The 26266-nt window shown below is 50.4% G+C and overlaps 2 annotated features.

Annotated features, from left to right (window-relative positions):
- Positions 17820-19019: an enhancer, noted in NCBI's record as "P300/CBP strongly-dependent group 1 enhancer chr1:25041190-25042389 (GRCh37/hg19 assembly coordinates)". NCBI's record gives its function as "activates an origin of replication core promoter dependent on BRD2, BRD4, P300/CBP, MED14 and CDK7 cofactors, with strong dependence on P300/CBP, by STARR-seq in HCT116 cells {active_cell/tissue: HCT116}" and the evidence as "EXISTENCE:reporter gene assay evidence [ECO:0000049][PMID:35650434]".
- Positions 23239-23533: an enhancer, noted in NCBI's record as "tiled region #6401; HepG2 Activating non-DNase unmatched - State 5:Enh, and K562 Activating non-DNase unmatched - State 10:DNaseD". NCBI's record gives its function as "activates a minimal TATA promoter and a strong SV40 promoter by Sharpr-MPRA in HepG2 and K562 cells {active_cell/tissue: HepG2 | K562}" and the evidence as "EXISTENCE:reporter gene assay evidence [ECO:0000049][PMID:27701403]".

Below are 26266 nucleotides of genomic sequence, written 5' to 3' on the forward strand. Positions count from 1 at the left end.
CTGTTGCCCAGGCTAGAGTTCAGTGGCGCAATCTCTGCTCACTGCAGCCTCTGCCTCCTGGGTTCAAGTGATTCTCCAGCCTCAGCCTCCGGAGCAGCTGGGATTACAGGCATCCGCCACCATACCTGGCTAATTTATTTGTTTTTTTGTTTGTTTTTGTTTTAGAGACGGAGTTTCGCTCTGTCGCCCGGCTGGAGTGCAGTGGCACAATCTCAGCTCACTGCAACCTCCGCCTCCTGGTATCCGGAATTGGTTCTTTCCGGTGGGTTCTTGCTCTGCTGACTTCCAAGAATGAAGCCGCGGACCCTTGCAGTGAGTGTTACAATTCTTAAAGATGGTGTGTCCAGAGTTTGCTCCTTCAGATGTTCAGATGTGTCTGGAGTTTCTTCCTGCCAGTGGGTTCGTGGTCTTGCTGACTTCAGAAGTGAAGCCGCAGACCTTTGCAGTGAGTGTTACAGCTCTTAAAGGTGGTGTTTCCAGAGGCGTTTGTTCCTTCCAGTGGGTTCATGATCCCGCTGACTTCAGGAGCGAAGCTACAGACCCTCACAGTGAGTGTTACAGCTTTTAAAGGTAGACTGGATCCAAAGACTAAGCAGCAGCAAGATTTATTGCAAAGAGCAAAAAAACAAATCTTCTACAGCAAGGAGAGAAACCCAAACAGGTTACCGCTGGGAGCTCAGGTGGCCAGCTTTTATTCCATTACTTGGCCTCGCCCATGTCCTGATGATTGGTCCATTTTACAGAGCACTGATTGGTCCATTTTACAGAGTGCTGATTGGTCCATTTTTACAGAGTGCTGATTGGTGTGTTTTTACAGAGTGCTGATTGGTGCGTTTACAAACCGTTGGCCAGACACAGAGCTCTGATTGGTGTGTTTTTACAGAGTGCTGATTGGTGTGTTTACAAACCTTTAGCTAGACACAGAGCGCTGATTGGTGTGTTTACAATCCTGTAGCTAGACAGAAAAGTTCTCCAAGTCCCCACCTGATCCAGAAACCCAGCTGCCTTCACCTCTCACCGGGTTCAAGTGATTCTCTTGCTTCAGCCTCCTGAGTAGCTGGGACTATAGGCGCCTGCCACCATTCCTGGCTAATTTTTTGTATTTTTAGTGGAGATGGGGTTTCACCATGTTAGCCAGGATGGTCTCAATCTCCTGACCTCCTGATCCGCCCACCTCAGCCTCCCAAAATTTCTTTGTATTTTAGTAGAGACAGGGTTTCACCATGTTGGCCAGGCTGGTCTCAAACTCCTGACCTCAAGTATTCTGCCCTCCTCAGCCTCCCAAAGTGCTGGGATTACAGGCATGAGCCACGGTGCCTGGTTAATTTGATAAGTTTTGACACATAGACACACCAGTGAAACCATCAACACAATGAAGATGGTGAGCACATCCTTCACCCTCAAAAGTTTCTTCATGTCCTGGCACCACAGCTCATGCCTGTAATCCCAGCACTTTGAGAGGCTGAGACAGGAGGATCGTTTGAGAATAGGAGTTTGAGACCAGCCTGGGCAACATGGCAAAACCTCATCTCTACAAAAAAATACAAAAATTAGCTCGGCGTGGTGGTGCGAGTGCACACCTGTAGTTCCAGTTACCTGGGAGACTGAGGTGGGAGGATCACCTGAGCCCAAGAGGTCAAGGCTACAGCGAGCCATAATTGCGCCACTGCACTCCAGCCAGGGTGACAGAGCTGGAAAAAAAAAAAAAAGTTGGCCAGGCGCAGTGGCTCGCACCTGTAATCCCAGCACTTTGGGAGGCCAAGGCAGGTAGATTGCCTAAGGTAAGGAGTTTGAGACCAGCCTGACCAACATGGTGAAACCCTGTCTCTACTAAAAATACAAAAATTAGCTGGGCATGATGGAGGGCACCTGTAATCCCAGCTACTCGGGCGGCTGAGGCAGGAGAATCACTTGAACCTAGGAGGCGGAGGTTGCAGTGAGCTGAGATCGCGCCATTGCACTCCAGCCTGGGCATTAGAGCGAGAGTCCATCTCAAAAAAAAAAAAAAGTCTCCTTGTGCCCCTTTTTAATTCCTTTCTACCTTCCATTGCCCAGGAACCACGATGTGGCTCTGTCACTCTATATCAGTTTATATTTTCTAGAATATTATGGAAATGGAATCACAGCATGCACTCTTTTTTGCCCAGCTTCCTTCACTCAGCATTATTAATTTGAGATTCACCTCCCTTGGCCCATGTATCAATAGTTCATTCCTTTTTAATGCTGAATGGTATTCTGTTGCTAGGATATACCACAGATGGTTTCTCCATTGACCTGTGGGTGGGAGTTTGGGTTGTTTCCAGTTTTTGGCTATCGCAAATGCAGCTGCTATGAACATCTGTTCACATAAGATCTTTTGTTTTTTTTTGAGATGGAGTCTCACTTTGTCATCCAAGCTGGAGTGCAGTGGCACGATCTCGGCTCACTGCAACTTCTGCCTCCTGGGTTCAAGCAATTCTCCTGCCTCAGCCTCCCAAGTAGCTGGAATCACAGGCGTGTGCCACCGCACCCAGCTAATTTTTGTATTTTTAGTGGAGACAGGGTTTCACCATGTTGGGCAGACAGGTCTCGAACTCCTGACCTCAAGTAATCTGCCCGCCTTGGCCTCCCAAAGTGCTGGGATTAGAGGCATGAGCCACCATGCCCAGACCACACAAGATTTTTATCTGAGGAAGTTGCACTACTGAAAAAAAAAAAAAAAAAAAGCTGGAGAAGATGGTCCCTGAAGTCACAGGCTTTTAAGGGCCTGGAAACTGTGGTGGGCCAAGGTGGGGCACCGAGGAGTAAGGGAACTGCCATTTTGAGCCTCTACTGAATGCACCTGCCCACATTCATTGATGTAATCACACCCCAGCTGGGAAGCAGGTGCCATTGTTATTCCCAGGATACAGACAAAGCAGCTGAGGCACAGACGAGTGACTGTAACTGTCTCATGACACACACGGAGGCCACAGCAGAGCCATGATTCAGACCCAAGGTCTGGCTGCCTCCAGGCCCAGGCTCAGGACCACCGCACACTCGTCACGAGAACCAGCACTGGTTCCTTGGCTTGCTTTGACCCCTTGTGTGGCTGAGGTTCATGCTTGTGGTGGTTCCCATGGTGCTGGGCCACAGGACGCACCTGGTCAAGACTTGGAAGCAGGATGGGGAGCTGGGGACAGAGGAGCAGCAGGAAGTGAGTCCGTCATGCAACTGAAGGGCATCTGGTTCCTGGCCAGACAGGGAATGGAAAGAGGGACCCCCCCTTATTTTTATTTATTTATTTTTGAGATGGAGTCTTCGCTCTGTCGCTCAGCCTGGAGTGCAGTGGCGCGATCTCAGCTCACTGCACCCTCCACTCCCGGGTTCAAGCAATTCTCCTGCCTCAGCCTCCCGAGTAGCTGGGACTACAGGTGCCCGCCACCTCACCTGGATAATTTTTGTATTTTTAGTAGAGATGGGGTTTCACCGTATTGGCCAAGCTGGTCTTGAGCTCCTGACCTTGTGATCCACCCGCCTTGGCCTCCCAAAGTGCTGGGATTACAGGCGTGAGGCACCGCACCCAGCTGAGTCCCCTTATTATGCAGGGATCTCTGGGCCTTTCGCTCAGTCTCTCCTATCACGTCCACAGTACCACTGTGAGGTGGAAATCATCATCTCCATTTCGTAGATGAGAAAACGGGGGCTCAGGAGGTTTGGGCAGGATTCTCTCAGCTTCCAGTAACAGAAAAGCCAACTGAAAATGGCTTAAATGATGAAGACACTGATCTGACAAGGAAGCCAAAATTTTAGGTCTGGGAACTTCTGGATCGTTAACCCAGGGGCTCCACAGGGAAGGGATTTCGAGACTCATCCTCTTTCCCTCCTGGTGAGCTCCATCCTTTGCATATCAGCTCTTCCCTCCTTCTCAGCCCCAGAATGGCTGCTCTGCAGCGGTTTCAGGGGCCACGGGCCCACAGTGGCATTCAGAAACAAAGAGAACCCCATCCTCCCTTGTCACCCCTTTTAAGATGGAAGAGAACCCATCATTTCTTACTGGCCAGAATTGCCTAAACCAATCACTTGGTAAGGAAATGAGACCACCTCGGGTGGCCCAGACCCGCTGAGATCCACTTCCTGGGAAGAAGCTCTCCCGAAGGCCAGGGGTGCTGAGAGGAGGACAAACAGCATCCAGGTTTTGCCAGGCATAGCAGCTCACACTTGAGATCCCAGCTACTCAGGAGGCTGTGGCAGGAGGATCACTTGAGTCCAGGAAGTGGAGACTGCATTGATCTATGATTGTGCCACTGCACTCCAGCCTTGGTAACACAGCAAAACCCCATCTCTAAAAAAAAAAAAAAAAAAAAAAAAGGGGCGTGGTGGTTTACACCTGTAATCCCAGCACTTTGGGAGACCTAGGTGGGTGGATCACCTGAGGTGAGGAGTTCGAGACCAGCCTGACCAACATGGTGAAACCCGTCTCTACTAAAAATACAACAACAAAAAAATAGCTGGGAGTGGGGGCATGCGCTTATAATCCCAGCTACTTGGGAGGCTGAAGCAGGAGAATTGCTTGGACCCGGGAGGCGGAGGTTGCCGTGAGCCGAGATGGCGCCATTGTACTCCAGCCTGGGAAACAAGAGCAAAACTGCATCTCAAAAAAAAAAAAAAAAGATTCCAGATTTTGCTAATAAGGAAGAAGGGGTCTGCCTCAGAGCAGAAGAGACTTGCTCAAGATGTCCACGTGGTTAGAGGTGGATCTGTGGATCTGGGCCCTAAGACAGGCCTGGCCCTGTTATTCCCCTCTCTTTATTATCCCCATTTCTTTTTGTTTGTTTGTTTTGTTTTGTTTTTGAGATGGAGTCTCACTGTGTCACCCAGGCTGGAGTGCATTGGTGCAACCTCGGCTCACTGCAACCTCTGCCTGGCAGGTTCAAGCTATTCTCCTGCCTCAGCCTCCCAAGTAGCTGAGATTATAGGTGCCCGCCACCATACCTGGCTAATTTTTGTATTTTTAGTAGAGACGGGGTTTCACCATGTTGGCCAGGCTGGTCTCAAACTCTTGACCTCAGGTGATCAGCCTGCCTCGGCCTCCAAAAGTGCTGGGATGACAGGTGTGAACCACTGTGCCCAGTCTATTATCCCAATTTCATAGAGGAGAAAATTGAGGCTCATATTATAGAATCTAGGAGGCTTCTTACCAACCCCAGAAGTCTGTGTAAATAATGTTAGTAATTCTCACATTGAACACTTTATGTGCCCCCACATATCCCATCACCTATGAGGTCAGATGGTTATTTTATTTTATTTTTTTTTTGAGACAGAATCTCACTCTGTCATCTAGGCTGGAATGCAGTGGTGTGATCTCGGCTCACTGCAACCTTCACCTCCTGGGTTCAAGTGACTCTCCTGCCTCAGCCTCCTGAGTAGCTGGGATTACATGTGCCCGCCACCATGCTCGGCTTATTTTTCTATTTTTAGCAGGGACAGGGTTTCACCATGTTGCCCAGGCTGGTCTTGAACTCCTGGCCTCAAGTGACCTGCCCGCCTCAGCCTCGCAAAGTGCTGAGATTACAGGCATAAGCCACCATGCCCAGCCATCAGATGCTATTAAAATCTCCATTTTACAGAGGAAGACACAGAGGCACAGAGAATAAGAAGCTTGCCTGAGGCTACACAGCCAGAAAGTGGTGGTGCTGGTATTTGAACCCTGCCTGGTATTCCAGGATCCCATCATGCCAGGTCAAGCGGGAAGCCCAGACTGGTGAGTCAAAGGACAGGTGGGGCAGTCCCCAGCCAAACAGAGAGAGTTGAGTAGCAACAGGCGAAGGCCAGCTGTTTGAGAGGCCCACTAGCTGGGAATGGGGCTGGGGCCAGGCCAGCTGGCAGGCCCAGCTGAACCTGCAACATGAGCCCAGGAACCATCACTACCCACCCACCGTGCCTCTCGAGTTCCCAGTCTCCTGCTCAGCCCCCTCCAGGAGCCTGAAGTACAGATTCAGGTTTGATGGGCAACAAGTGCTCGCAGGACAGCTCAGCAAACCACATGCGCTGACAGCCCAGAGGCACCTCAAAGAGTTTTTGGTCCAATGCTCCAAAAATGCTCATTTTCCAGACAGGGAAACTGAGGCATGCATAAAATATTTTGTTTTTGTCTGTCTTATTCACTGCTTCATTCCATCTCCCAAAACAATGCTTGGCACATAGTAGGTACTCAGTAAATATTTGTAGAATGACTGACTCATGAATGAATGTGGTTTTTCCAAGGCACTTAGCATTGCACAGGGGCAAAGGCTCATACAATAGAAAGCTGGCTGTCGGGAACAAAGCCTCTTCTCCTCCAACCCCTCAAGTCAAATGGGAAGACTGGGGGGCTCAGAGTAAAGAGTCCACAATCAAGGATATACCCTCACAAGGAAAACAGGCTCTCGTAGGCACACAGCATTTAATCCATTTCCCCCAATACCTAGACACACACACACGCATGCCTCACTTTAGTTACAAGGGCAGCAGAACCCATTCACTCTGTTTAAGCATAAATGGGGAAGGGGGAATTTACTGGCAGGATCCCTGTGCAACCCAAGGGCAGGAAACTCAGCCAGTGCTCCCAAACGGGCCAGAAACAAACACAGAAAGTTTTTTTTTTAAATGACATTATGGGCCGGGTGCGGTGGCTCACACCTGTAATCCCAGCACTTTGGGAGGCCAAGGCAGGTGGATCACGAGGTCAGGAGTTCAAGACCAGCCTGGCCAAGATGGTGAAACCCGGTCTCTAATAAAAATACAAAAATTAGGCCGGGCGTGGTGGCTCACACCTGTAATCCCAGCACTTTGGGAGGCCGAGGCGGGCGGATCACAAGGTCAGGAGATCGAGACCATCCTGTGAATGGTGAAACCCTCTCTGTACTAAAAATACAAGAACTTAGCCGGGCATGGTGGCAGTCGCCTGTAGTCCCAGCTACTTGGGAGGCTGAGGCGGGAGAATGGCGTGAACCCAGGAGGTGGAGCTTGCACTGAGCCGAGATTGCGCCACTGCACTCCAGCCTGGGCGACAGAGTGAGACTCCGTCTCAAAAAAAAAAAACAACGAAAAAACAAAAATTAGCTTGGCGTGGTGGTGGGTGCCTGTAATCCCAGCTACTCGAGAGGCTGAGGCAGGGAATTGCTTGAACCCAGGAGGTGGAGGTTGCAGTGAGCCAAGATCACGCCACTGCACTCCAGCCTAGGTGACAGAGTGAGACTCTGTCTCAAAAAAAAAAAAAAAATGACATTACGGGTTGGACACAGTGGCTCACACCTATAATCCCAGCACTTTGGGAGGCCAAGGCAGGTGGATCACTTGAGGTCAGGAATTGGAGACCAGCCTGGCCAACATTATGAAATCCCGTCTCTACTAAAATACAAAAATTAGCTGGGCGTGGTGGCGGGCACCTGTAATCCCAGCTACTTGGGAGGCTGAAGCAGGAGAATCACTTGAACCCAGGAGGCGGAGGTTGCAGTGAGCTGAGATTGCGCCACTGCACTCCAGCCTGGGTGATAGAGCAAGACTCCATCTCAAAAAAAAAAAAAAGAAAGAAAAAGAAAAAGAAAAAAAAATGACATTACCCGCCATCGCCCCATCCCTCTGGTCTGCACATCCACTTTCTTCTTCTCTTCCCTGCTCAGAACTTTCTCCCAGCCCCTGGCTGTCCCAGGCCCAGCTTTATAGGTCCTCTTGGTTCAAACACCCAACAGAGACTGGGTGTCTGGATCTCAATCACACATTCTCAGCAGAGGGAACCTGACTGGCTGGCTGGTCTTGGGAGCCGTGGGGGTCTAGGGGCCACCGCCCACCACTCAGGGCTGTGGGGGCAGACTCAGAGAGGGGTGTGGTTGTGGAGGGTGGGAAGAAATGAGGCCTGCCCAGGCCCAGCAGCTTGTCTAATTCCTTTCAACCCGCCCCCTCCCGCCGCCTCCCCCCGTCTTCCCAGACAAGAGGTCTTGAATCTCTCCCAGGATGAGGCTGTTAGGCTACCCACACAAACACGACGTCATCCATTGTCCCTCATTATTCATTATTGTTAGAGGGCTCTTAAGTCATCCTTTCTCCTTCTGAACTAGCCGTTGCTCATCTGCTCATGTCTGTGGCTGCAGCAATTAATGCCAGTTTCAGTCAGTACAAACCAATCATTCCCTCGGTTTGCTTCTTTGGCTGCTATAAACAATTTTTTTTTTTTTTTTTTTTTTGAGACAGGGTCTCGCTTTGTCACCCAGGCTGGAGCGCAGTGGTTTGATCTCAGCTCACTGCAGCCTCGACTTCCCCAGGCTCAGGTAGGTGATCCTCCCACTTCAGTCTCCCAAGTGGCTGGGACTACAGGCAGATGCCACCATGCCCAGATAATTTTTAAATTTTTTTGTAGAGACGGGTCTCACTATGTTGCCCAGGCTAGTCTCAAACTCCCAGGCTCAAGTGAGTCTCCCGCCTCAGCCTCCTAAAGGGCTGGGATTACAGGAATGAGCCAGCGCTCCGGCCTAGAAACAATTTTTAAACCTTGTAAATCCAAACCCCATAAAAGAGAGGAACTGATTGGTTCTCCCACTCACCAATTTGTCAGGACTGCCCCTACTGGGCAGAGCTTTCGCACCAGCGGCCTCCGCCCTCCCCCATTCACACTAGCCTATAAAGTGGCTGCCTGAGATCCAGGGACCCGCCCATTCCTGGGCAGTGGTGGTTAGGGGCCCTTTGGGCTTTGGTTTTTGCAAACATTTTCTTTGCTTACCCTGATTCTTCTCTGGGCTGGTGCCAGTTTCGTGTGCTCCTACTCCCGCCCCTATTCTTTGTTCATTGTTTACTGAAGCCTGTTCTTCTCCTTCCTGTGGCTTCCCCACCTTTTTCCTGCTGCTTGCTCATTTTGGACACATCTCTAATTCTAAGTGATGACCACCTACGGTGCTTTCGGCAAGTCCCTTAGCTCCTTGGGCCTCCGTTTCCCCATGTGCATATTTGTGCTACTCAATTCCCACTTCACAGGGTTATGAAAGGAGTTAATGTATCTGCGAGCTCCTGCTACACAGCGAGCACTAAACAAACATCAGTGTCTGCCTTTCTGTTTGGCTTCAGTCCTTAAAGCTGTCAACAGACCAGAGAGGCGGAGCTGGACTAGGAGAGAAGAACCTGAGTTCAAGCCTCTGCTGTGCGTCTAACTTGCTGTGTGACCTTGAGAAGCCCCTTTCCCTCTCTCGGACTCGGTTTCCCCATCTGTCCAATGAGGATTGGACTAGAGGAGCATTTCCCAAACTGAAACTAACAGCACGCCACACAGAGAAAGAGTATCTTTGGAGCCAGGTGCGGTGGCTCACGCCTGTAATCCTAGCACTTTGGGAGGCTGAGGTGGGTGGATCACCTGAGCTCAGGAGTTCAAGACCATCCTGGGCAACATGGTGAAAACCCGTCTCTACTAAAAATACAAAAAGTTAGCTGGGCGTGGTGGTGGGCGCCCGTAATCCCGGCTACTCAGGAGGCTGAGGCAGGAGAATCGCTTAAACCTGGGAGGCAGAGGTTGCAGTGAGCCCACATTGTGCCACTGCACTCCAGCCTGGGCGACAGAGCGAGACTCACAGAAAAAAAGAATATCTTTGGCCAAACATTTTGGGAAAAGCCATTTAACAACTTTCAGAATATTACAGGCACTGAAACTGTGCTGTCCAATATGGTAGCCACTAAACACATGGGACTATTTAAATTAAACATAAATAAAATTTGAAACTCAGTTATTCGGTCTCACTAGCCACATTTCAAGTGCTCAATAGACACACGGGGTTAATGGCTACAGTACAGCAGAGAACAGGTAAGAGCATTGCCTTTAGCACAGAAAGCACCATTTGAAGGCGCTGTAATCAGAGGAGGCCTGCTTCACTTTAATCCAGCATTTCCCAAACACATTGTGCGTGTGTGTTTGTGTGTGTGTGTGTGACACAGGGTCTCATTCTGTCACCCAGGCTGGAGTGCAGCGGCACAAACACAGCTTGCTGTAGCCTTGACTCCTGGGCTCAAGCAATCCTCCTGCCTCAGCCTCCCAAGTAGCTGGGACTACAGGCATGTGCCACCACACCCGGGTAATATTTTTGTATTTTTTTTGTAGAGACAAGGTCTCACGGTGTTGCCAAGGCTGGTCTCAAACTCCTGGGCTCAAGCAATCCTTCTGCCTGCCTCAACCTCCCAGAGTGTTGGGATTACAAGCATGAGCCACCATTGCCTGGCCATGTTTTAACATTTTTCTTGGCTGAAAGGACATTATATTTGTGGAAAGAGAATGGCTTGCTGAGGCTGGAATGCACTGGGAAGGAGAGGAGACAGAGAAATTAGTTGTTCAGGATTAAGAAGCAAGTAGAGGCCAGGAGCTGTGGCTCACGCTTGTAACCTCAGCACTTCAGGAGGCCAAGATGGGTGGATCACAAGGTCAGGAGTTCGAGACCAGCCAGACCAACATGGTGAAACTCTGTCTCTACTAAAAATACAAAAATTAGCTGGGACTGGTAGCAGGTGCTTGCAATCCCAGCTACTCAGGAGACTGAGGCAGGAGAATCGCTTTAACCTGGGAGGCGGAGGTTGCCACGAGCTGAGATCATGCCACTGCACTACAGCCTGGGTGACAGAACGAGACTCCGTCTGAAAAAAAAAAAAGTAAGTAGAATTTGCGGGGGGAGATGAAAGAGGAGATGAGAGTGGGTTGAAAGTGGGAGAGGGTCTGGCAACCTGGTGGGCAGAGGGAGCCAGGAAAGGAAAGAGGACCAGCGGGCCAGGATGGCTGAAGGACTCCTGAGAAGAATGAACCTGATGTTCAGTTTTAAGTTGTCTGTACACAGCTGCATTGCAATGCAACTCCCCCATCCACCATCCACAAATCAGTAAAGGTCTACCACATCTTGACACATGGCCTTGGAGAAAATCAAGCAAAAAGGGCTATATGTTCTATCCCTGCGCTGCCAGTGTGTGTGTGTGTGTGGGGGGGGGGGGGGGGGGTGGAGGGGGAGGGGGGGTGGTGGTGGAAGGGCCCTCAAGGGAGTTGACAGCTGAAGGAGATCAAGAATTCAGTTGCAGGCCGGACGCGGTGACTCACACCTGTAATCTCAGTGCTTTGGGAGGCTAAGGCAGGTGAATCATGAGGTCAGGAGTTTGAGACCAGCCTGGCCAACATGGTGAAATCCCATCTCTACTAAAAATACAAAAAAATAGCTACTAGGCATGGTGACAGATGCCTGTAGTCCCAGCTACTTGGGAGGCTGAGGCAGGAGAACTGCTTGAACCCGGGAGGCAGAGGTTGCAGTGAGCCGAGACTGCACCGCTGCACTCCAGCCTGGGCAACAGTGAGACTTCATCCCCCCAAAAAAAAAAAAAAAAAATGGAATTCAGCTGCAGCAGGTTATACAGAAGGAAGAGAGGTAGAGGCTGGCTAGGAGAAATGGACCTCCTCCCCAAAAGTCCCCAGAGAGATTGGGAGGTGCGGTGGTTATAAAACACGGCCCCACAATTCTTTGACATTTCTCTCATCAAGATGTGGGGTTTTGTTTTTTCTTTTCTTTCTTTTTTTTTCTTTTTGAGACAGGGTCTTGCTCTGTCACCCAGGCTGGAGTGTACAATCATGGCTCACTGCCACCTCAACTTCTTGGACTCAAGCGGTCCTCCCACCTCAGCATCCCAAGTAGTTGAGACTATAGGCATGCACCACCATCCCTGGCTAATTTTTAAAAAATTTTTTGTGGCCAGGCGTGGTGGCTCATGCCTGTAATCCCAGGACTTTGGGAGGTCGAGGCGGGTGGATCACAAGGTCAGGAGTTCGAGACCAGCCTGGCCAATATGGTGAAACCCCGTCTCTACTAAAAAAAATACAAAAAAATTAGCCAGGCGTGGTGGCACATGCCTGTAATCCCAGCTACTCGGGAGGCTGAGGCAGGAGAATTGCTTGAATCCGGGAGGCGGAGGTTGCAGTGAGCTGAGATCACACCACTGCACTCCAGCTTGGGTGACAGAGCGAGACTCCGTCTCAAAAAACAAAAAAAAAAAGAAATTTAAAATTTTTTTGTAGAGACAAGGTCTCACCATGTCACCTAGGCTGCTCTTGAACTCCTGGGCTCAAGTGATCCTCCTGCCTCAGCCTCCTGAAGTGCTGGGATTACAGATGTGAGCCACTGTGCCCGGCCTACATGTGGGGTTTTGTATGCCATCCCCTTGAATATGGGCTCTATGACTATTTTGACTAATGGAGTATGATGGAAGTGACCCAAATCTTAAGAAACTGGTTGGTTTCACTTCCTATTTCTTGGGACACTTATTCTTGGAATCCAGTTGCTAAACTGTGCCCAGGCCACATTAACAGGCCATATGTAGGTGTTCTGGCCAATAGCCCCAACCGAGTTCCCAGTTGATAACCAGCGTTAATTGCCAGACATGTGAGTAAGAAAACCTCTAGATCACTCCAACCCCATTCACCAACTGACTGCAACCACGTGAAAAATCCTGTGGATTTGTGCACAACCTGTAGAACTATGAGAAGTAATGATATATATATACATACATTTTTTTTCCTTTTTTGAGACAGAGTCTTGCTCTGTCCCCCAGATTGGAGTGCAATGGTGTGATCTCGGCTCACTGCAACCTCCGCCTCCCAGGTTCAAGTGATTCTGCTGCCTCAGCCTCCCAAATAGCTGGGATTACAGGTGCCCACCACCATGCCCGGCTAATTTTCATATTTTAATAGAGGCGGGGTTTCACCAGGTTGGCCAGGCTGGTCTCAAACTCCTGACCTCAGGTGATCCACCCGCCTCGGCCTCCCAAAGTGCTGGGATTACAGGCGTGAGCCACCGCACCTGGCCAAAATGATGTTGCTTTAAGCCACTAAGTTTCAGCTGATTCATTTTGCTGCAATGGTTTTAACTGAAACAGCAGACAAGCCATGAAGCCCATTACAGTGGGGTGAGATATTAGAGCCGATTTTTCATAAAATCTTAAAGCATAAAAGGGCCTCAGTGAGCTGTAACACTTGTTAGATGACAGAGATCAACATCTGGATGAGCTTGATGTTAGATAAAGTCTCTGCTGTGACCTTGAGGAGTTGGACCAGGGACTGTCCAAGTCAGAGAGAGAAAGGTGTCAACTATGACTTGAATATTTCCAGCTTAGGCAGCTTGTCCTCTATGACAGCATGAGTTGAAATTGGAGGAGACAAAGAGGAAGAACAGATTTGGAGGAAAATGACAAGACCAATTAGAACACACTGTTGCATTTGATTTTTGGGGATTTTTTGTTGTTGTTTTTCTTTTCTTTTCTTTTTTGAGACAAGATCTCACTCTGTCACCCAGGTTGGAGTACAGTGGCACGATCATGACTCACTGCAGCCTCAACCTCCTGGGCTCAAGCCATGCTCCCACCTCAGCTTCCTGAGTAGCTGGGACCACAGGCGAGCGCCACCACACCCAGCCAATTTTTGTATTTTTTGTAGAAATGGGATCTTGCTGTGTTGCTTAGGCTGGTCTCAAACTCCTGGGCTCAAGCAATCCTCCCACCTTGGCCTCCCAAAGTGCTGGGATTATAGGCATGAGCCACTGTACCCGGTTACATTTGTAAAATGTTTTCTGTAAATGCCAAAGTCTGCTGATGGATAATAAAAAAGAAGAATTCTTGCTAGAAGTTTCGGCCCATGTTCTCTTTTTTTTTTTAAGATGGAGTTTCGCTCTTTTGCCTAGGCTGGAGTGCAGTGGTGCAATCTTGGCACATTGCAACCTCCACCTTCTGGTTTCAAGCTATTCTCCTGCCTCAGCCTCCTGAGTAGCTGGGATTACAGGCGCCTGCCACCACGCCCGGCTAATTTTTGTATTTTTTTTTTTTTGAGACGAATTTTTACTCTTGTTGCCTAGGCTGGAGTGCAATGGCGTGATCTCGGCTCACCACAACTTCCACCTCCCCAGTTTAAGTGATTCTCCTGCCTCAGCATCCCAAGTAGCTGGAATTACAGGCATTTGCCACCATGCTTGGCTAATTTTTGTATTTTTAGTAGAGATGGGGTTTCTCCATGTTGGTCAGGCTGGTCTCGAATTCCCGACCTCAGGTGATCCGCCCACCTCAGCCTCCCAAAGTGCTGGGATTACAGGTGTGAGCCACCACGCCCAGTCCCCCCATCTTTTTTTTTTTTTTTTTTTGAGACAGACTCTCACTCTGTCACCTAGGCTGGAGTGCAGTGGCATGATCTTGGCTCACTGCAACCTCCACCTCACGGGTTCAAGCGATTCTTCTGCCTCAGCCTCCTGAGTAGCTGGGACTACAGGCATGTGCCACCACACCTGGCTAATTTTTGTGTTTTTAGTAGAGATGGGGTTTCACTATATTGGCCAGGCTGGTCTCAAACTCCTGACCTCGTGATCCACCCACCTCTGCCTCCCAAAGTGTTGGGATTACAGGCGTGAGCCTCTGCGCCCGGCCTCGGCCCATGTTCTTACAGTAAAAGCTTTGAGGAGTCTGAAACCCAAATTCCATGTATTCATATCCTTGTTCATGCATTCATGTATTCATTCAATTTGCTCACTTAGCCAGCCATTCAGCAGGTAGAGTTATGCTTAAGAGAGGACCCTAGAACCAGACTACCTAGGTTCAAAATCCAGCTCTATCTCTTACTAGGTGCATGGCCTTGGGCAAGTGACGTCATCTCTTTTTCTTTATCTCCAAAGCGGGGATGATAATAACAGTACCAATATTATTGTAAAGATTAAAAGAATGAATACCTGGAAAATTCAGACCACTGGCTGTGGTGGCTCATACCTATAGTCCCAGCTACTTGGGAGGCTGAAGCAGGAAAATCGCTTAAGCCCAGGAGTTCAAGGCTGCAGTGAGCTATGATTGTGTCACGGCACTCTGGCCTGGGTGACAGAGAGAGACCCTGTCTCTATAAAACAAAATCAGGCCGGGCATAGTGGCTCACACCTGTAATCCCAGCACTTTGGGAGGCCAAGGCAGGCAGATCACCTGTTCAAGAGCAGCCTGGCCAACATGATGAAATCTCCTTTCTACTAAAAATACAAAAAGTAGCCGGGTATGGTGGCACATGCCTGTAATTCCAGCTACTCCGGAGGTTGAGGCAGGAGAATCGCTTGAACCCAGGAGGCAGAGGTTCCATGAGCCAAGATCATGCCACTGCACTCCAGCCTGGGAGACAGAGCGAGACTCCATCTCAAAAAGCAAAACAAAACAAAACAAAAATTCAGATCAATGCTTGGAACATAAAAACCTATAGATATTACTTATTAATACTCAATACTTTTTTTTTTTTTTTTTGAGATGGAGTCTTGTTGCTCTGTCATCCCGGCTGGAGTTGCAGTGGCACGATTTTGGCTCACTGCAACCTCCCCTCCGCCTCCCAGGTTCAAGCAATTCTCCTGCCTCAGCCTCCCAAGTAGCTGGGACTACAGGCAAGCGCCACCACACCCGGCTAATTTTTGTAATTTTTTTTTTTTTGAGACGGAGTCTCGCTCTGTCGCCCAGGCTGGAGTGCAGTGGCGTGATCTTGGCTCACTGCAACCTCCACCTCCTGGGTTCAAGCAATTCTCTTCCTCAGCCTCCCGAGTAGCTGGGACTACAGGCGCCCACCACCATGCCCAGCTAATTTTTGTATTTTTATTAGAGATGGGGTTTCACCATGTTGGTCCGGCTGCTCTCGAACTTCTGATCTCATGATCCACCCACCTAGGCCTCCCGAAGTGCTGGGATTACAGGCGTGAGCCACCGCACCTGGCTAATTTTTGTAATTTTTTTTTAGTAGAGACAGGTTTCACCATGTTGGCCAGGCTGGTCTCGAACTCCTGACCTCAAGTGATCTGCCTGCCTCAGCCTCCCAAAGTGCTGGGAATACAGGTGTGAGCCACTGTGCCTGGCCTCAATAAATAATGTTTTGAGCACCTACTATGCAGCTGGCTCCATGCTGCACTGAGGATACAGTAGTGCAGAAGACAGAGAGAAGACCTGCTCCATGACACTGACATTCTAGTCCTTATTCAGCACCAAGATCCTAAGTTTCCTTGGTTTTCTTTCGGATGTCTTGTCCCATTTGATTTTTAGAAAGACCCCATGAGGTTAGAGCAACCTTACCCCATTTGACAGAGGTGGAAACTGAGGCCCAGACAGGAGAACCGATGTCCTTTTTGCACAGTGCCTCAGCCGGCTGCCATGAATATGTGTGTCCGTTTGACAAAGGCATGGGGATAGGAGTGGTCAGGAGGCTCCATGTCTCCCATCAGCCAGCTGTTCTTCCTCTGCCTGGAGCCCTTCCAGTGACCCAGCTCTCAAATGTGGCCAACCTCTTGCCCCTGAGCGGGATCTCTGTAGCCCTCTCATGGCAGAGGTCCTGGAGGTGCGAAGTAGGGGTACCGTGCCCAGGCTGCCCCTCTCCCCACTTGGTCTCCTACGTGCAGTGGACATTTTTCCACTTGGTGTGACCACACAAAAACTCCACCCAACATCATCTTCATGGATGCCTAAAATTCCACCATCCATGATTCATTCTTTTAGGTTGAACAACTGCTCCCAGGAATGTCTGAAATTCCCTGGAATCAGTTGCTAACACCTTAGTGAGCTAAAAACTGGCCTTACAGATAATCATCTACCTTCTGTAGACAACTCTGGACCAGAAGAAGAAGTGACTTGCCCAAGGACACGTAACCTTGGGCAGTCAGTCAGTGGCAAGCCAGGGCCAGAGGCTGGCCTTGCTCACACATTTTCCTGGGACAGGAGGAACAGAGCCATATACGATGTTCCCTTGAATCACATCTACTTTGCAGCCTGCAGAGAGCCTCCCCACCCAGAGCCCACTTGATTCAGGCAATCCCTATGAGCTGGGCATGAGTCCCTCTCCCAGGCACAGTGGCTCACATAGACATGGGGATGCCACAGGGACCTAGCCCAAACGTCCATTGCTGGATCCCTGGAGTGAGGTTTCTGGTCTATCCAAGGCCTAGTTTAGCTCCTCCTTCCGTTCTACCGGCAGCCCCAGATTCTTCCACTGCCTTCCTTTTTTTTTTTTTTCAGTAAGCTCAAGTTGGTTTCTCTTGCTTCTAAAGAACTCTAATTGAAATTCCCACTTTACAGATAAGGAGACCAAGATGTGAAGAGGAAAGGTGAATGCTAAGGTGGAGCCAGGCCTGCAACCCAGGTCTCCTATCTCCTGGCCCAGGCTTTTGCCTCCTGCCACGTTGCCTACTGTGAGCAGTTGGGTCCCGAGGAAAGAGAAGAGCAGAGAGGAGTGTGAGTGCATAAGCCTGAAGATAGAGGGTACAGTGGTTCATTGAGAGATTTTGGAGTCAGCAGATCTGATCTTACACTTACCTGTTATGAAGATTTTGACAAGTAATTTCATCTTCTCAGAGCCTAACTTCCCAGCTATAACATAAGAAAAAGAGGACCTTCTTATAGTAGACACAGACCCAACAGGAGCAGAGTGGGTGAGTAGAGCACTGGGTGGATTTTAGCCTTCACATACTCATCTATGGCTGGGTACCTTTGTGCAGTGAACAATCTGGGCAACAGTACATGACAGCCCTGAGAATAATGATAATACCTGCCTTACATGGATGTTATAAAAACTAAATGAGATAAGGTATGTGAAGTTCTGGGCACAGTGCTTAACCACTTAATAAGTCTTCAATAAACAGTAGCTAAGTATTTTGACACCATCACCCCAGGCTCCGTCTGGAAGGCTCTGGAAGGCAGTCTGTGGTGAAATGGCAAGTCCCAAACTCCCCACTTTCTTACCACCAACTCCCAAACCTCATAATTTTCCTGGATGGCCTCAGTGTCCTGCCTCTCCCTCCAGAGTTCTGTGGGGTTGGCTGGACCACCAGGAACAGAGTTCTGGCATTTTCTATCACATCACAGCTTTCAGTTTGGTAAAAGCCCCCGATATATCAGGGCCCAACTGGCAAGTCCCTCCTGCTCCAAAGTTTTGAAGGTTCCAGGGTCAAGCCTTGGCCCCCAGCCTCCTCCCTCAGACCTGAGGCCGAGCATAGTATATTCAGGGGCCTAGCTGCAGCAGGTCCTGAAACCTGCTACAGCAGTCCAAGCCCCCTCAGTCCTCCTCTTTCATTTCTGAGCAGGCCCAAGCACCCAGCACCAAGAATGGCTGGACTTAGGGACTCTGGGAGAGCCACGTGTGCCAGGCTAGTGCCTGCCAGCTCTTAGGCTGATCTTACAATGGCTCCATTCACCAGGGAGAGGAGCTGGCCTGCCTGGAGCCCACGGGGTGATGTTCCAGGCCCCAGGGGGATGGGGTGGGAGGTTAGAAACTAAGAAAGCGGTTGTTAAGGCTGGGAGGGGTGAAGGTGCCCAGCCTCCACCACTACCAGCACCTTATGACAAGGTGACCACCTCACAACTGGGACCATGAGAGATCAGATTCTCTGGGGCCCAGTGGGGGTGAGTAAGTGCGGGGGCAGATGGAGGGAAAGAGTTAGTCATGGGCATTGCGGGGCAGGGAGGCTGGGCCCTTAGCCCACGCTCTTGCTGGCATCTGAAGGCCCGTAGCCAGGGGGTGACGTGGTCTTGGTCCTTGAAGCAGCCCTTCCAGTAACAACTGGGGCATCCCAGCCAGGCAGCCTTTGCCTCTCCCCCTCCTCTCCATGCCTGCTACCCCAGGTCTCCAGGATCTCTCAAAGAGATTTTCATCTACAAACATCTCTGTCTCCATCATCTCTCCCTTCTTCACTCACAAAGCCCAAGTTGAGTCCAAACTGCTCTGTCCTCAAATTAAAGCCCTCACTGACTCCTCACTACCTAAAAGACCATGACCTCAGTGTTCAGGCTGTCATCTTGCCCACTCAGCATCCATTCCTTTTCCATATGAGCTCCAAGTCTCTCTATTTCTGGGGAAGCACCTGGGCCCCCACTCTCAGTCCATATGTTTCGAGTGGAGCTCAGGCCTAGAATTAGACATGTGACCCCAACTTGATCAATCCGATTGTTCCACCTCCACTCCCACCACCTCTATACAGCAATTGGTTTAGACATAGTCACGTGACCTAAACCAGTCCAATGAAATTCAAGTTCAGAACCTGTGTATAAATGTTTGGAGAAATGGGCCGGGCGCTGTGGCTCACGCATATAATCCCAGCACTTTGGAAGGCCAAGGCGGATGGATCACCTGAGGTCAGGACTTTGAGACCAGCCTGGCCAACATGGTGAAACCTTGTCTCTACTTAAAATACAAAAAATTACCTGGGCGTGGTGGTACGCACCTGTAATCCCAGATACTCCGGAGGCTGAGGCAGGAGAATTGCTTGAACCCGGGAGGCAGAGGTTGCAGTGAACCGAGATCACGCCATTGCACTCCAGACTGAGGGACAAGAGCAAGACTTCATTTCAAAATAAATAAATAAATAAATATCTGGAGAAATGAATCTTTCTTTGCCCTGGGCTTGGAGCCTCCATTTGGAAAGGGCCTGCTTCAGAGTGAAGCCAATGCAAGGAGAAGCAGAGAGGAGCAGAGAAGAAGAGAGAGAGGCCAAGTCTTGAAAGCATTTATTTGAGCTATACCTGAAGCAAATACACTAATATACTCTATTGTTTTTTCTTTTTAACTTTCATTCTCAAAGGAGGTGAATGTTCAGTTTTTTGAGTCAACGGATTTTCTTTTTTCCTAAGCTTCTTGGAATTGCGTTTTCTGTCTCTCGCAACCCAGGAGTTCTGACCAACAGAAAGGCCCTCCTACTCTGACCTTGAACCACTTCTGCAGTCTCATCGGCCCTGCCTGGGGCATATGGAACTCTCCACTCCCCTGAATGCCCCATGTGCCTTGTGATTCTCTGCACTTGCTCCTGCTAGGCCCTCTGTCTGGGGTGGATTCACTTTTCCTGTTTTGAACTTGCTCAGCTTTTTTTTTTTTGAGACAGAGTCTTGCTCTGTCGCCCAGGTTGGAGTGCAGTGGCGCAATCTCAGCTCACTACAACCTCCGCTTCCCGGGTTCAAGTGATTTTCCTGCCTCAGCCTCCCAAGTAGCTGGGACTACAGGCATGCACCACCATGCCCGGCTAATTTTTGTATTTTTGGTAGAGATGGGGTTTCACCATGCTGGTGAGGGTGGTCTCAAACTTGAATCACTCAGGTGATCCACTCGCCTCGGCCTCCCAAAGCGCTAGGATTACAGGCGTGAGCCACCGTGCCAGGCCTTGCTCAGTTCTTAAAGGTCCAGTTCAAATGCCAGTTCCTCCATGGAGCCTTCCTCAACTGCTTCCCAGGGAGAATTTACTATTTGCACCTGTCTTCAGCACTATAGAGCCATTATTTCACTGTATCATAGTGATTCACTTGCCCATCCATCTCCCCCACTGGATTGTTGAGCTTCATGAACTGTGTGTGCTTTCTTTCTCCTTTCTCAATACCTAGTACCTGACCTGGCACAGAGTAGGCGCTCGGAATCCTGTGTCCAGTGACTTGAATATCCATCAGACTGGATGTTAGAGCTGTGGGGATGTGGCACTCACCCTGGAACTACTACTAGTTGCTATGCAGCCCATTCCCATCTCTGTGAACAACCTGAATTGTCCACCTTCCTTCAATCTAAAAATTCTACTCATCCATCAAGGAGCTCAATGCCCTGAGTATGTGAGGAGAGGGCTGCTTTGGAGTTGGACAGACTTGAGTTCAAGTCCTGGCTCTTCCATGTGGTACTCATGTGACGTAGGCCAAGTCATATAACTTTCTTGAGCTTCAGTTTCCATAAAATGGCAAACACATGGTGCTCATTATGTGCTGTGCCCATATCCTAATACTTCTAGTTCTTTTATCCTCCCTATGAGGTGTAGGTACCAGTCTCGTCCTCTTCCCAGTGATAAAGAGACTGAGGTCCAGAGAGGTTAAGTAAGCAAGGCCATGACTAGGACAGAGCCTTGGACAGACCTAGTGGCCGGGTAGGGGATGGAACCCAGGCAGCCTCTGCTCCAAGTCAATGCTCTTACCCCTCTACTGTCCTGCCTCTTGAAAAATGAGGATAGTACTAGAACCTTCTTCTTGGGGTACTTGTGAAATTTCACCTTCACATAATGTGTGTGGAGGGTACAGTAGAGCTGAAGCCCTTGCTGTTGGCACCGCGGTGTTCTCAGCCTAGTGGAGTCTAATCTTTCCAAAGAATCCTGGACTTTAGGGTCAAGCTGGAGGGAGGGGGGAGGTGGCTAGTCTAGCACAGCATCCACTTGGCTGTGGCTGCTTGGCAGAAGGACCCTGCTCATAATGCCCATTTGTCCAGACCGTAGTTCAATGACTTCTGCATTCTCTGCACGTACACCCTAGAAGGGATGGGATGGATGGGGGATGGCACTGGCTCTAGCCTGGCCAGGGAAAGCCAGCTGGGAATTAAGAGGTCTTGGGCAGCAGGACAACCCTGTGTCGAGAAACCTCAACTCTGCCACTGCCTAGAAGTGAGACCCTGGGTAAATCACACAACCTCCCTGGGGCTCAGTTCCTTCATCTGTGAAATGCGGACCTTAATGGTACCTCCTTCATCGGGTGGTGTGAGGAAGAAGATGTATTTTGCAAGTATGTTGTGGATATTCAGTAAAAGACAGTTAATGATCAGCCTCATGCTACTGTTTGGTTAGCCAGGCTGGCTGGGGTTCAATCTTGGCTCTACCATTTCCTAGTCATGTGATCTCAACTAAGTTACTTAACTTCTTGGCTCAGTTCCTCCCTGGTAAATTGGGAACAATCAAAAAACAATAATACAATAGCAGCTATGTGCCCCTCACAAAAAAGCGATCCCCAATTTTTAGTGATCCCAAGCAGCTCCCTGCCCCTCCCCAAGGCGTCAGTTTCCCTATTTGTTCAGGGAATTTTTTTTTTTCTTCTTGAGACGGAGTTTCACTCTGTTGCCCAGGCTGGAGTGCAGTGGCATGATCTCAGCTCACTGTAACCTCCGCTTCCCAGGTTCAAGCGATTCTCATGCCTCAGCCTCCCAAGTAGCTGAGATTACAGGTGTGCGCCACCACACCTGGCTACTTTTTGTATTTTTAGCAGAGATGGGGTTTCAGCATGTTGGCCAGGCTGGTCTTGAACTCCTCACCTCAAGTGATCTGCCTACCTCGACTTCCTAAAGTGCTGGGATTACAGGCGTGAGCCACCGTGCCTGGCCGGAACTTTTTTTAAAATAGAGACAGGGTTGGGCTCTGTCACCAGGATGGAATGCAGTGGTGCAATCATAGCTCCTGGGCTCAAGGAATCTTTCCGCCTCAATCTCCTGAGTGGCTAGGACTACAGGCATGTACCACCACACCCAGCTGATTTTAATTTTTCTTGGTAGAGATAGGGGTCTCACCATGTTGCCCAGGCTGGTCTTGAACTCTTGGCCTCAAGGATATTCCTGCCTCAAGGATACTTCCACCTCAGCCTTCCAAAGCATGAGGATGACAGGCATGAGCCACTGCACCCAGCCTTGTTCATGGAAATTTCAGCTTCACCGTAAGCGCCATGCCCTAACAGATTCCCAGGCTCCGCTTCATGTACTGAATTGGTCCCCCTGCGGGAGATGCCCGATGCCCTTTCTTGGGGCAGCTGCTGTGTCCACCTTGTTCACTGTGTCCCCAGCACCTGACCTGGGCCTGCACATGGTGGGCCCTTAGCAAATGTTTATTGAATTTATGTTTTTCATGTAACAAACATGAACTTAGTGCTTCTCATGTGCTAGGCACTCCTTTGCGTGCTTTACAGATATAAATGCATTTATTCTTTGGCAATCTTTTTTTTTTGAGACGGAGTTTCGCTCTTGTTGCCCAGGCTGGAGTGCAATGGCACAATCTCGGCTCACTGCAACCTCCTCCTCCTGGCTTCAAGCAATTCTTCTGCCTTAGCCTCCCGAGTAGCTGGGATTACAGGCATGTGCCTCCACGCCTGGCTAATTTTGTATTTTTAGTAGAGACGGGGTTTTTCCATGTTGGTCAGGCTGGTCTCAAACTCCCGACCTCAGGTGATCCGCCCGCCTTGACCTCCCAAAGTGCTGAGATTACAGGCGTGAGCCACCACCCCCGGCCTTACTCTTCAGCAATCTTGTAGAGAATGACTATTATTATCCCCATCGTTATTTTACAGATGAGGCAGTTGAGGCAGAGTTAAAGTAACATGCCTAGGATTCTAACCCAAGACCTCTGGCTTCAGGGTTCATCCTCTGGCCTTCTCTGACCCTGTCCCCTCTATTCAGGAGTTGGGGTACCCTGAGTACCCACACATCCACTGGTATCCATGGCTCATCTCTTGGGATGGGGTTCTCCCATCCTCTGGGCGAGAGCAGGGGCCGGCTGTGGGATGTGGGGAACCGAGTCATGGGCCTGGCCTCCAGGAGACAGTCAGCCAACACCTGCCAGTCCGCCAAGTCCCAAAACAGCCTGGGCGCAGCTCACATCCGGCTGTTGTTCCGGAGCCAGAGAGGAGAACAGGAAAGGCCAAGAGGCCTGGCTCCAAGCTGACTCATTGGGAGGTGGGACCAGGACAGGAAGGGCAAGGGGTCGCCAACTCCATCCTCCCTCCCTTGGACACTCACTGGAATAAGGCCGGGCCCTGGAGCCACAGGCCAGAATCCACCCACCATGGAGCTTCAGGGACCTCACAGACTCCCAGGGAGGAAACACATGTGAGTTTAAAAACCAAGCCAGGCCGGGCGCGGCGGCTCACGCCTGTAATCCCAGCACTTTGGGAGGCCCAAGGCAGGTGGATCATGAGGTCAGGAGATTGAGACCAGCCTGGCCAACCTGGTGAAACCCCACCTCTACTAAAAATACAAAAATTATCTGGGCGTGGTGGCGCGTGCCTGTAATCCCAGCTACTCGGGAGGCTGAGGTAGGAGAATCACTTGAACCAGGGAGTCAGAGGTTGCGGTGAGCGGAGATAGCACCACTGTGCTCCAGCCTGGGGGACAGAGCGACACTCCGTCTCAGAAAACAAACAAACACACAAAACCAGGCCATAGCATTTGGCTGGAGAGATGAAGGTTCTGCATGGCCAAATACTTTGATGACTTTCTTGGGTGCGAAAGGCACTGCCCTCTTCCTGGCCGTGGCCTGGAGGACAGGAGAGAGGGCTCTGGGTAAGGAAATGGGGCAGGAGGGCAGAAGGCTTGAGACCTGAAAGGCAGCGGGAAGGATGAATGTAGAGAAATCTCAGAGCCTGAAGAAAGAAGCCACCTGCCAAGAGTCCATGGGGAAGGCTGGCCCAAGAGAAGTCTCTGGAAAGGTTTGCTAGACTCTTTTTTTTTGAGACGGAGTTTTGCTCTTGTTGCCCAGGCTGGAGTGCAATGGCGCCATATCAGCTCACCACAACCTCCGCCTCCCACGTTCAAGCGATTCTCCTGCCTCAGCCTCCCGAGTAGCTGGGATTATAGGCACCGGCCACCATGCCTGGCTAATTTTGTATTTTTAGTAGAGACAGGGTTTCTCCATGTTGATCAGGCTGGTCTTGAACTCCTGACCTCAGGTGATCCACCCGCCTCGGCCTCCCAAAGTGCTGGGATTGAGAGGTGACAGTGTGCTGGCAGCCCTCCCAGCCCTCACTGGCTCTTGGCGCCTCCTCGGCCTTGACGCCCACTCTGGCCATGCTTGAGGAGCCCTTCAACCCGCCGCTGTACTGTGGGAGCCCCTTTCTGGGCTGGCCAAGCCCAGAGCCGGCTCCCTCAGCTTGCGGGGAGGTGTGGAGGGAGAGGCGCGGGTGGGAACCCGGGCTGCGTGCAGTGCTTGCGGCCAGCGCGAGTTCCGGGTGGGCGTGGGCTCGGCGGGCCCCGCACTGGGAGCCTCCGGCCGGCCCCACCGGCCCTGGGCAATGAGGGGCTTAGCACCTGGGCCAGCAGCTGCTGTGCTCGACTTCTCGCTGGGCCTTAGCTGCCTCCCCACGCCGCAGGGCTCGGGACCTGCAGCCCACCATGCCTGAGCCTCCCCCGACCCCCGTGGGCTCCTGTGCGGCCCGAGCCTCCCTGACGAGCTCCGCCCCCTGCTCCACAGCGCCCAGTCCCATCGACCACCGGAGGGCTGAGGAGTGTGGGCACACGGCACGGGACCGGCAGGCAGCTCCACCTGTGGCCCTGGTACAGGATCCACTGGGTGAAGCCCGCTGGGCTCCTGAGTCTGGTGGGGACTTGGAGAACATTTATGTCTAGCTAAGGGATTGTAAATACACCAATGGACACTCTGTATCTAGCTCAAGGTTTGTAAACACACCAATCAGAACCGTGTGTCTAGCTCAGGGTTTGTGAATGCACCAATGGACACTCTGTATCTAGCTACTCTGGTGGGGACTTGGAGAACCTTTGTGTTGACACTTTATATCTAGCTAATATAGCTGGGACATGGAGAACTTTTGTGTCTAGCTCAGGGATTGTAAACGCACCAATCAGCTCTCTGTAAAATGGACCAATCGGCTCTCTGTAAAATGGACCAATCAGCAGGATGTGGGTGGGGCCAGGTAAGAATAAATGCAGGCTGCCTGAGGTAGCAGTAGTAACCCGCTGGAGTTCCCTTCCACACTGTGGAGACTTTGTTTTTTCACTCTTTGCAATAAATCTTGCTACTGCTCACTCTTTGGGTCCACACTGCCTTTATGAGTTGTAACACTCACCATGAAGGTCTGTGACTTCACTGCTGAAGCCAGCGAGATCCCAAACCCACCGGGAGGAAAGAACAACTCCAGATGCACCACCTTAAGAGCCCTAAGAGCTGTAACACTCACCGTGAAGGTCTGCAGCTTCACTCCTGAGCCAGTGAGACCGTGCACCCACCAGAAGGAAGAAACTCCGAACACATCTGAACATCAAAAGGAACAAACTCCAGACACGCCGCCTTTGAGAACTGTAACACTCACCGCGAGGGTCCGTGGTTTTATTCTTGAAGTCAGTGAGACCAAGAACCCACCAATTCTGGACACAGGATTACAGGCGTGAGCCACCGCACCCGGCCCTTTTTTTTTTTTTTTGAGATGGAGTTTCGCTTTTGTTGCCCAGGCTGGAATGCAGTGGCATGATAGCTCACCACAATCTCCGCCTCCTAGGTTCAAGTAATTCTACATCATTCTCTCTAGTAGCTGGGATTACAGGCATGTGCCATCACGCCCTGCTAATTTTGTATTTTTAATACAGATGGGGTTTCTCCATGTGGGTCAGTCTGGTCTTGAACTCCGGACCTCAGGTGATCCACCCGCCTTGACCTCCCAAAATGCTGGGATTACAGGCATGAGTCACTGCACCCAGCTATACAGCTTATTTTGAGACAGTCTCACTCTGTCACCCAGGCTGCAGTGCAGTGAGTGTTAATCTATGCACATAAAG

Source organism: Homo sapiens, chromosome 1 (genome assembly GCF_000001405.40).
Source record: "Homo sapiens chromosome 1, GRCh38.p14 Primary Assembly".
Taxonomy (NCBI): domain Eukaryota; kingdom Metazoa; phylum Chordata; class Mammalia; order Primates; family Hominidae; genus Homo; species Homo sapiens.